The sequence below is a fragment of the Homo sapiens genome, chromosome 4 (genome assembly GCF_000001405.40).
Source record: "Homo sapiens chromosome 4, GRCh38.p14 Primary Assembly".
NCBI lineage: Eukaryota > Metazoa > Chordata > Mammalia > Primates > Hominidae > Homo > Homo sapiens.
The window spans coordinates 128,517,321-128,528,365 of record NC_000004.12 but is presented as its reverse complement, the minus strand read 5'-3'; the positions used below and the strand labels follow the sequence as shown (position 1 = coordinate 128,528,365).

General features: G+C 42.3%; 1 long non-coding RNA gene across 1 annotated transcript in view, besides 5 other annotated features; it reads right to left on the bottom strand.

Moving 5' to 3' along the window:
• Positions 1-8,967: 8,967 nt before the first annotated feature.
• LINC02615 (long intergenic non-protein coding RNA 2615) overlaps positions 8,968-11,045 on the bottom strand; it is a 91,383-nt gene continuing 89,305 nt past the window's right edge. Inside the window, exon 9 of the long non-coding RNA NR_125882.1 lies at positions 8,968-9,610. This is a non-coding gene — a long non-coding RNA (long intergenic non-protein coding RNA 2615). The remainder of the gene's footprint in view (positions 9,611-11,045) is intronic.
• Positions 9,739-10,500: an enhancer, noted in NCBI's record as "H3K27ac hESC enhancer chr4:129439021-129439782 (GRCh37/hg19 assembly coordinates)". NCBI's record gives its function as "activates a minimal SCP1, AML or CMV promoter by ChIP-STARR-seq in naive H9 embryonic stem cells {active_cell/tissue: H9 hESC(naive)}" and the evidence as "EXISTENCE:reporter gene assay evidence [ECO:0000049][PMID:30033119]".
• Positions 9,739-10,559: a biological region, named in NCBI's record as "NFE2L2 motif-containing MPRA enhancer 199".
• Positions 10,147-10,196: an enhancer, noted in NCBI's record as "active region_21889". NCBI's record gives its function as "activates an Ori minimal core promoter by ATAC-STARR-seq in GM12878 lymphoblastoid cells {active_cell/tissue: GM12878}" and the evidence as "EXISTENCE:reporter gene assay evidence [ECO:0000049][PMID:35858748]".
• Positions 10,415-10,559: an enhancer, noted in NCBI's record as "145 bp enhancer 199 fragment used in the MPRA reporter construct; PK_construct_3518". NCBI's record gives its function as "activates an SV40 promoter by MPRA in HepG2 cells {active_cell/tissue: HepG2}" and the evidence as "EXISTENCE:reporter gene assay evidence [ECO:0000049][PMID:23512712]".
• Positions 10,482-10,492: a transcriptional cis regulatory region, noted in NCBI's record as "NFE2L2 motif; enhancer activity is reduced when this motif is scrambled". NCBI's record gives its function as "necessary for full MPRA enhancer 199 activity {active_cell/tissue: HepG2}" and the evidence as "EXISTENCE:site-directed mutagenesis evidence [ECO:0005528][PMID:23512712]".

Genomic DNA, 11,045 nt, shown 5'->3' with positions numbered 1-11,045 from the left:
ACAGAGCCTCCACCAAATGCCTCAGACTCAGATACACTCTGTCACCCGTGGCTAAATAAATGAAATGAGTTTTCATCAGAAAAGGTCAGTTCTCCTCCCAGAGAGGGTTTCTATGATTCCTGCACTTGATGGGGTTTTTCCCCACCAATGGATTTCTTTCTCACTTGATTGTCCTTTCCTCACTGAGTATAAGCTGCAACTCTTTCCAACGTGGGGCTCACTTGGGGTTTTCATTTTTCCAGGATTGATTCGCTCTCAGAAGGTGAAAGTGGGATGGGGGTGGGATGAGTGAAACCATCTCTGAAATGACCAAAAATAGCTGCAGTATATAAAGCAGCTGATTAAATTATTTTGAAGAGCTGATGAATGCTTTAAAAATCTCTGCACTGAATGCAATTACCAATGTTTCTCAAAGTGCACTTTGAGGCCACCTGCATCCCAATCACCTGAGTGCTTGTCAAACATGTAAACTCCCAGGTCCCATCAAAGGACCACATCTCACAGTAAAGGCCTAGAAATCTGTACTCTAAAAAAAAATTTAAATAAAGAATAATATACATACTGAAAAGTGCACACAGCATAAAGTGGACAGCTTGCTGGAGTTTCACAACTAAACCCATCTGCAAAGCCAGCACTCAGATCAAGAATAATATCACTGATATCCCAGAAGCCCCTCTGCTCTCTCCACGCACAGTCTACTCACTCTCCTCAAGGCCAACCCGTATCTTAATTGCTAATGCCATAGATTACTTTCACCTGGGTTTTTTGGTACTGTCTATAAATGGACTCATGCAGTCTGCATTCTTTTGTGTCTGGCTTTTTTCACAGATTGTGAGATTCATCCACATTGTTGCATGTCATTATAGACTGTTCACTCTCTTTGGCTGAATGGTATTCTATTGCATGACTATACCAAAATGTATCCATTCAATTTAAATCTAAATTATAATGAAATACAGTCATGCGTCACTTAATGATGGGGATATATTCTGAGAAATGCATCATTAGGCAGTATTGTCATTGTGTGAACATCACAGAGTGTATCTACACAAACCTAGATGATATAATCTCCTACATACCTAGGCTATATTGTATGGCTTATTGCTCCTAGGTTATAAACCTGTACAGCATGTTATTGTCTTAAATATTGTAGGTAGTTGTAACCCAATGGGAAGTATTTGTGTATGTAAATATACTTAAATATAGAAAAGATACAGCAAAAATATATTATAATCTTATGGGACCACCATTGTCTGCATGGTTCGTTGTTGACCAAAATATCATTTTATGGCACATGACTGTACCTTTGTATAACCAATAGAATGGCTAAAATAAAAACAGAAAACACCAAGTGTTGGTAAGAACGTGGATCCACCGAAACTCTTAAACACTAACATGGCAGTGAGACTATAAGTTGATAAAATCATCTTGGAACACTTTTGGCAGTATTTACTAGTGCTGAATATATGGCTACCTTAAATGCAGAAATGCTACTCCTAGATGCCCAACAGAAACACATATGTTCACCAAAAAGACACAAAATAGCCCAAAACCTGGTACTACCTAAAAGTGTATCAACAATTGATCCAAATCTGCCTTTTTAACATATTTACTGGTTGTCTCTTATGTACATGAAATTTTCAGAATCTTTGCATTTATATTCTGAAGGTCTACCTTGAGAATAACCCTAGGAATTTTAGCAGCTATCAAAATACATATAGGGTCAATATATTTGAATTAAAGAAAAGATATTTTTCATCATTAAACCACCAACAGGACTCCAAGTAGGAGTTTACACTTAAGCACCATATACATTCCCTCATGACTTTGAAAGCTGAGCTGTATAGAAAAGTGTTTCACAAAGTGTGTTGAAATTTTAATTGTGTTCTCACAGCCATGTGTTCAGGGCAGCTGCTGCTGTTACTCAATTGCACTATCACTGCTGTGAATGAATATTTTATACACTGCTGTTTTCCCACACAGTTCCTTTGATTAAATAAAACTGGAATGTGTAAACTCAAGAAATAACTGAAAAAACTCAGTTCTTAGAAACTTTGATAAGAAGCAATTGAGCAAACCCCTACTCTGAAGTCGAGTGTGAGAATTTACTTTTGTTCTAGTACAGATGACAGATGTGGAATAACAACCTATTTAAGGGAGTACCCTTAAGGTGAGCAGCCTTAAATAACATAGAGATGACCCAATTTTCCCTCCTCAGGAGGTGAACAGGCACCCAGGAGGAAAACCACCTTAAAGGTAAACAAAGAAACAAGCCATTCTTGTTCCTCAGGATTTCCACAGATTAACAACAGTCCAAACAAACCCCAAATGCAAACTATTTGGAATCTCCAAATGTTTAGAACTGAAAGAGGCCTTAAAAGACATCTACAAAGAGAAAAGGAGACTTTTACATGGATATGACATAACCAAAATTATACATTGCTATGATTTAAAAATAAGGCATAAAGCCAAATTTTTAGGCACTCAGTAATATAGTGACTGAATTTAGCCTCTATGTGAGACATTTCAGCAATTACTAAAAAGCACAACGAACTTAAGGAAATCTAGCGTCTCCAAGTGTAAGCCATGAATCTGCCCTCCTTCTAAAACTAGAGCCACCATAGGTAGTGTTCCTTTTGTTTTATTTATAAAGGACTATTCAGAGGTAACCTACCAAAGTCAAGGCGAAAGAGCCTACAGCAGACACCAGTATCTCAAACCTAAGATTGAGAAGGGCACACTGGTATTCAGGACAACTGGGACTTCTATGTGCAAGTGGCTGTGACATGGCAAATATAGAGGAAGAGCTCTGACTGTAGCTGCAGGACGTAGAGAGAACCCCGCCCCCCGCCCCCGCACTTTTCCATTATTAATCTGCTCTGTCTCAAGGGAGATGACAAATACTTAAATTTTTTTTTTTTTTTTTTTTTTTTTTGAGACAAAGTCTCACTCTGTCACCCAGGCTGGAGTGCAGAGGGCAATCTCGGCTGACTGCAACCTTTGCCTCCAGGGTTCAAGTGATTCTCCTGCCTCAATCTCCTGAGTAGCTGGAATTACAGGCGTGCACCACCACACCCAGCTAATTTTTTGTATTTTTAGTAGAGATGGGGTTTTACCATGTTGGCCAGGCTGGTCTCAAACTCCTGACCTCAAGTGATCCTCCCGCCTTGGCCTCCCGAAGCGTTGAGATTACAGGCTTGAGCCACCGCACCCGGCAAATACTTAAAATATTAGGAAGCTTGATCACTTACAAGGAGCAGCTCATCTGGGAATACACTTCTCATTCACCCTAAATTCCAGAACTTCCCTCAGCCCTTAGGATCACGCTTAACTTGCCAGGCAGTGAAGTTACAAGGAGGGGGTGGTCGTGGGGTAGGGCCCATGGAACAGTCAGCCTGTGCAGGTGAAAAGGGGGTGACTTCAGAGGACTCTGCCACTCTATCACTCAGGTTCCCTAGAATGGCGGTCTCATGGGATATTGTCAAGTGAATGTTTCTTTTTTTTTTTTTGTAGGAAAAAGTTGACTCTTTAGGACAATGAAGTGATTCTAAATATGGTGAATGTACTTTTTCTTTTTCTTTTTTTTTTAAGTTGGAAGTCATCCTAGCAGTTAGTTGTTCTTTGAGATGGAAACTTTATCCTCATAATTTAATTTACTTGGACTGCACAGGAGTTTTCGAATTAAACATTGTCTCTAACAGTGTTACTAGTGAATTTACCATTATTTCAAGTTTAAAATGCAGCTTTGCCCACAGACAGCCAAGACAAACCCAGGACGGCCAGCTTTAGCCAGCCTGGGCCAGCCAAGGCCCTCCTTCTCCAGTCAGGAAGTAGATGCTGGAATGCCTATGCCTGGGTCACTGCGTTAGGTCCACCCATAACTCTTAAACAGGGCTGACTCAGCTGCTAGCAGGGCGAGGCCCTGAGTGGGTGCCAAGCAGACCTTGTTGTTCTCCTGCTTGTGCCCCGTTCTTTCTTTTTTTAAAAAATTTTCAACTTTTATTATAGATTAAGGGGTATGTTCCACGGGTATATTGCATGATGCTGAGGTTTGGGGTACAAATTAGCTGTCACCCATGTAGTGAGCATAGTACCTATCACAATACTTTTCAGCCCATGTCCTCTTCCCTCCCGCCTCATCTAGCAGTCTCCAGTGTCTACTGTTCCCATCTTTATGTCTATGTGTATTCAATGTCTAGCTTCCACTTATAAGCGAGAACATGTTATTTGGTTTTCTATTGTTGCACTAATTGGCTTAGAATAATGGCTTCCAGCTCCATCCATGTCACTGCAAAGAGCATGATTTCATTCTTTTTTATGGCTGTGCAGTATTCTATGGCATATATATATATATACCACATTTTCTTTATCTAATTCATGTTGATGGGCACCTAGGTTGATTCCATTTCTTTGCTATTTGTACTCCATTCTTAAGGCCATCCTGGCATTATCCTAGGCCAGGCTCCGCTTCACTTTTCTTTTATGGGACAACCAAGCAATCCAGTTGAGGAACCCCTTACATTTCTGACAAATAGGAGAAACTGGTAAACTGTCTGAACCAATTCCCATCAAGGCCACCCTGATGCAGAGCTGATTCTATCATGTTTGTGTGGTACAAAGGTAGATTTGGGCCAAAACATAGAATATAAGCTCTGTGAAAGTAGATGCTTGTGTGCATTTTATTCAGTTCTGTCTCCCGAGGCTCAGAACAACACCTGTCATATAATAGGAGCTGGACAAGTATTTGGTGGAGGTAGTGCTGATCCAGAGGGGATGATGAGAGTACAGACCAGAAGGAACCAGGGCTCGGCAACATGGGCCTGGGCCTCATGAGCTAGAAATGGAAGAAGGGTAGCTGAACCTGGTGGAATTCAACACTCATTGCGGGCTTTTAAAAAACCAGATCATCAAGGTAAATCCTACCTTATTAGTGTTTTTTCATTAATTCAGCAAACATTTATTGAGTACCTGTGTTGTACTAAGCACTGTCTAGCTGCGAGGCACACCACAATGAACAAGACAAAAATCCACGTCTGCAAGAAGTTTCCATTCTAGTAGGGAAGACAGGCAATAAACATGCAGGTATTTTGAAGAATTTTAAGTGTGAAGAAGAAAATAACCATTAAAACAGATAGATGCCGGGTGCGGCGGCTCACACCTGTAATCCCAGCACTTTGGGAGGCCGACATGGGCAGATCACCTGAGGTCAGGAGTTCGAGACCAGCCTGGCCAACATGGTGAAACCCTGTCTCTACTAAAAATACAAAAATTAGCCAGGAGCAGTGGTGTGAGCCTGTAATCCTAGCTACTCAGGAGGCTGAGGCAGGAGAATTGCTTGAATCCTGGAGGTGGAGGTTGCGGTGAGCCGAGATCACCCCACTGCAGTCCAGCCTGGGTGACAGAGACTCCATCTCAAAAAAAAAAAATAATAAAAATAAAAAACAAACAGAGTGGAGCAGGGACAATATTATTGCTCTTGCTAGGATAATCTGAGAAGGATTCTCTGAGGGTCTGATATTTGAGCTGGCACCTGAATGCTGAGAAAAAAGGCAGGGATTTTCTCAAAGAACATTTCAAGCAGCAAGAGCAAAAGCCTTGACACACGGTACATTTGGAAGGTCAAGGGACAGCGAGTGTAGGTAGAGATAGAGGCTGAGTGGGGAATGGGAGGAAGGTTGAGTTGTGTATCCTTGTAGCCCTGGGTAAGAAGCTTACATTCTATTTTAAGTGAGAAAAGGGAAACATAAAAAGAGCTGAAGCAGGGGAGTAGGTTGATCTTCACTCATTGAAAAAAATATTTCTAGCTGTGGTCCGAAGATTGGCTATGGGGGAGGAAGAGAGGCCAGTGAGAAGGATGCTACATGCCTTGGCTGGGCTGCAGCCAGGAGGTGCTGAGAAGTCATCAGCTTGGGATACCATGTGCAGCTGCAGGACCTGCTGATGGATTGCAGGTGAGGTATGAAATAAAGGAAGGGAGGAAGGAATGAAGGTGACTCCGAAGATTTCCAGGAAGCAGCTGAGTGGATGGTGGTGCTATTTACTAATCTGGGAAGGGTAGGGATGGGGTCAGGTGAATGCAGAACCTCTTTTAGCCACAAAGAGTTTGAGGTTGACATGCACAGTCTCATGATGTCAGACAATGGTTCGAATACGGAGATCTAAGGCATAAGAAGAAATAGCGACTGAGGAGTCAGCAGCGTATTTGTGGCATGGAAACTCTGGATGAGACCACCTAGGCAGACGCACTCAGCATCAATAGCATCTTTCACAGAACTGACCGCCTCTAATGTATCACTCCCCAGTATCCTGTTAGCTCATAACCTGACTTCTTTCAGACCTATTCTCAACTCTCTCATTGACGTAATGTGAAGAAAGAGGAAATAATAGGGACAAAATGTCTGATCAACATAGAACTTCAAGGATGATGAAAGTTCCTTTTTAAACTAGATAATCTAGAGGGGAAGACAGCAAACTATAAAAGCAAAATGCAAATTATTATTCTTCTTGAACCTGGTTTCAAGTCTGTTTTCCTAGTGACGCTAATGCCATCTGAAATGCTGCGGGTGAACTAGGACAGTGCCTCCAAACATTCCCTTTGAATGACATCATTGATTCTAGGCAAAGAATCAAGGGATCTTGGACAGCAGGACTTAGGAGATAAGGAAAAGGGAAACCCATTAACATTTAGGTAACATACACATTTAACTTCTTGTTTTTTGCGTTTTTAAAGTATTCTATTCTTAAACCTATGATGCTTCATTCTAAATATATTTTATTTTCATTTTAAATTGTAAGGTCTCATTGAATTTGCTGCAGTGAGCTTCAAAGTCACATCTGTAATTATGAGGGGAAAACTGAAGCGTAAAGTTCTATAACAAATAGATCTAGTTTTCTGCTTTGCCACTGGGAAACTAAGCAGATTGCACATTTTGTTTCATAAGGAAAATCCCCCAGAGTCCTAATGCAAAACCTATGTCATATACATGACTCCACTTTGAAACAATGGAATCTCATGGTGCAGCCAACCTTTGCAAAACAAGTCAAGGAATTTTCCATGATGCCAAGGACTCTAGTTGGAGTTTGTAGTATATCAGGCCCCATTTTCCCCTGTTATTCAGCTCAAAACGTAAACAAAAAAGAAGGGGTGGAGAGGAAGAGAGGAAGGAGGAAGAGAGGGAGGGAGAAAGTAAAGAAAAACTTTACCCCTAGAGATCAAAGGTTAAAACTTAGCTCTTCCCTGGAATTGTCTGATCTTGATTCAAGGGCATAGGAAGTGTATGGCTGCTCTCATTTTATACCAGAAAACAGCAGAGTCCCTGATTCTTTGCTCTAAAACCACTATAAAAGGAAACTGGATCTAAAATCCTGTTTCACCCTGAATTGAGAATCCATCTGTGCACTCTGAGCGCTCTTCCTCACCCCACCCTTCACCGAACAGAAAAAGGAGGCGGGCAGTCCAGTGCTTTGCACATCCCTACCACAGGACCACACTACTGCTAAGGTGTTTAAAAACCAGGATCCTCATTTTTGCTCATTCTCAAATGGCTGCTTCTTCAGACATGACCCAGCCCGTTGCAACCAAAATACTACTGAGTTTTATCAGATCCACTCTGAAGTCTGCCCGCTCTTCCCTACTCTCCTCTCCAACCATTATACTCACTCCACCTAGCACTGTCTCACCAAAAAGAAGCTCTTTCTTGCCTCTGTGCCTTTGCACACACATTGTCCCCTCTCTGATCACACTTATTTGTTTCACCATGTCTGTGTCCCCCACTTACATGTTTCACAATCATACCCCAGCTGGTCTAGCATCACAACATGAGAAAGGATCACAAGTAGAATATTTTTTAAATTCTTAGCTGGGCAAGGTGGCTAACATCTGTAATCCTAGCGCTGTGGGAGGTTGAGGTGGGAGGATCACTTGAGCCCAGGAGTTTGAGATCAGCCTGGGCAAATAGTAAGACCCCCAAATCTACAAAACATTTAAAAACTGAGCTGGATGTGGTAGCACATGCCTGTAGTCGCAGCTACTAAGAAGGCTGAGGCAGGAGGATTACTTAAGTCCTGAATTTTGAGGCTGCAGTGAGCTAAAATGGTGCCACTGCACTCCTGTCCAGGTGACAGAGTAAAGACCTCATCTCTAAGAAAATAAAAAGTCAAATATAAAATAACTGGCTGGGTGTGGTGGCTAATGCTGATAATCCCAGCACTTTGGGAGCCTGAGGCAGGAGGATCACTTGAGCCTGGGAAGTCGAGGCTGCAGTGAGTCGTGTTCATACTACTGCACTCCAGCCTGGGTGACAGAGTGAAACCCTATCTCAAACAAACAAACAAACAAAAATTATCCCCAATTTAGGTCCTTTGGTGGGTTGAGTGTCTTAATGGCTCCAGCACATCCATCACTTTTGCCATGTACCTTGGCAGTGCCCTCTCAATCTGAGGGGCATTCTGCCCCAACTCACCTGACTGTGGCTTTAGCCTAGTGACTGATTTTGTCTCATGGGATGTTGGCAAACATAATTCAGGCAGAGGTTTCTGAAAGTGCTTGCACATTTCCACTTAGATTCATGTGTCTCCACCACTGCTAAGAGAGCATGCTCAGGCTGACCTGCTTGGCTACTCACACGGCAGAGCCAACGTGCCGCAGCCATCCCAGCCAAGGCTACTGTGGACCAGCCAATGGCAAACAATCCCCATACATGTGAATGAGCCCTGGCACCACCAGCAGAGCTGCCTAGCCAACTCACAGCCGACTGCAGATGAGTGCAGCGCAGAGCAGCCGAGCCCAACCCAGAGCAGATTCATGAGCTAAATCAAGGTTCAGCCAACTATGGCCATGGGCCAAGTCTGACCCACCATCTGTTTTTGTATGACTTGTGAAAAAAACTCACAGACCATTCAACTTCGTGGTTGAAAAAAATCAAAGTATAATATTTCTTAACATATAAAAATTCCATGAAATTCCAATTTTAGTGTCCATAAATAAAGTTTTATTGGAACACAGTCATGCTCCTCCATTTGCATAGCATCTAAGGCTACTGTTGTGCTACAAGTTCAGAGTTCAGAGACTGTATGGCCTGAAACACCTAAAATATTTACTATTTGGCCCTTTAAAAAAAAAAAAAGATTGTCAATCCCTGAGCTAAATAAATGTTTATTGCTGTGTGCCACTGAAAGTCACCAGTGATTTGTTTTGCAGCATCACTGTAGCAAAAGTTTACTGACACATCTTCTCATCTGAACAGCCATTTCTTTACCTATTTCCCCCACAGAAAGTACTGGTGGAGCAGAAGAAGCCCAACGTCAGAACAAAGCCAGCTTCCCCCTCCTCCTTCCCACCGTGGGCACAGACCCCATGTCCTGGATTGATGGCTGGGATGATGGGCTGTAACAATGAATGCCAGCATATCAAAAAATGTCAGATTCTTCAGTGGGTTCCTGTCTAGGGAGCAGACAACACCAACCACTCTGCCACAGTGACCAGTGAGGATCCAGAAGTCCCCTCATCCTGCCGACAGTGCCACAAAGCTTATGAACAAGGGTTTCCATCTATCACCAGCTGCACACTGAGAGGTCAAACTGCATAGGAGTAGAGGCATGAAGAGGAAACCTGAAAGATGAAAAGAAACTTTTAGCTCAACCTAGATAATTACATTGGAACTAAGTTTACAAGATTGGGCTAAAATTGAATTCCCACTCTGGGGTCCAGTGGTGGAAATTTGAGAGAAATATTCCACCAGTTAATAAAAAAAGTTGTTACATTTTTTATTATCTCTGAGTGTATTGTGAGTGAATTTTGCAAATCTGATATGAATTTTTGTAAAATGAATACACAGATGAATAAATGAATGAATGAATGCGAAACTCCTCATCATCCTGCCATGTACTCTTCCCACCACCCGCTGGCATTTCTAGCCAGTGAAGGCATCAATCCAGAAACAACTCATTCCTCATCTTGAAATGCCTTCCAACTTCTAGGAGCAAGCAGCAACTTCTAGGTCTAGCTCCCTCCTTCAGAAATGCCTAAACATTCGCCTACATTCCCTGGTCCCTTGGCTCAGGAATTTTGTAGGTGGTCTCAAAGCCTTGGATAAATTTACATGAAACAGGCTGGCATCCTCTATGTTAGAGGAGTTTGGATCTTTCAGTAGACTCTAGCCTTAAACCTGTACCAAAAATCTTTTGAGATTATAATGAGGCAATGTTTTCCCCAAGAGGAGAAAAGGTCAGATTCCCACATCTGGAGTTTGACCTTTGTGCATGTTGTCATTTCACCCACCACAGGAAACCTTTCTAGGCTGGGCTAAAATGTGTAACTTCTCAACAGTGTGGCTGGTAGCAATCCCACCCAGCTGTGTGGAATGGGAAGTGAAAGGGCAATTAATATTCTGTTAAAACTTCAGGGGGCTGCACTGAAGCTGGCCAGATAGCAAGGCTGACTCATCACGTTAAAACCCAATGCAGTATTGTCTGCTCACTTCTGCTGACTCACTTGTCAGCCCTAAGCTATGTGTACCCAGGCAGAGCTGCCAGGTCTCACATCCGCCTTTCCAGAGTGTTACCCTTCTGCACCAGCCATGACCATTCACTCTCTGGAGAAGCATTTATGATCAGCCATGGATGATTTTAAATGTGTGAAGAACTGTTTCATGGAGGGAGATTATCAGCCTCTTTCTTACATTGTTTTACATGAAAACAACATGAACAGCAACACAACTGACACTGGAGAAGAACCATAGTTCTTCCAAGCTGGAATGGAGCCTTAGAGATCAAGCTAGATCTTATGAGATCTAGTGGGAAGGAGGCTAGCACGTTGAATAAGAGCTTTGAGTCAGGCGACCTGAATTTATGTAGCCTTGGACACAGGTAGTCGAATTATAAGTAGTAGGCTAATACAGCTGTTAAGCAACTTTAAGCAAATTGCTCAGACTCTCTGAGCTTTGGTTTCCTTATCTGTAAAATTAGAAATAATTATAGCACCCACCTCATGGGGCTATTGTGAAGAAAGGATGAAAAGAGATCAAGTATAAAAGGAATCGAGTGCT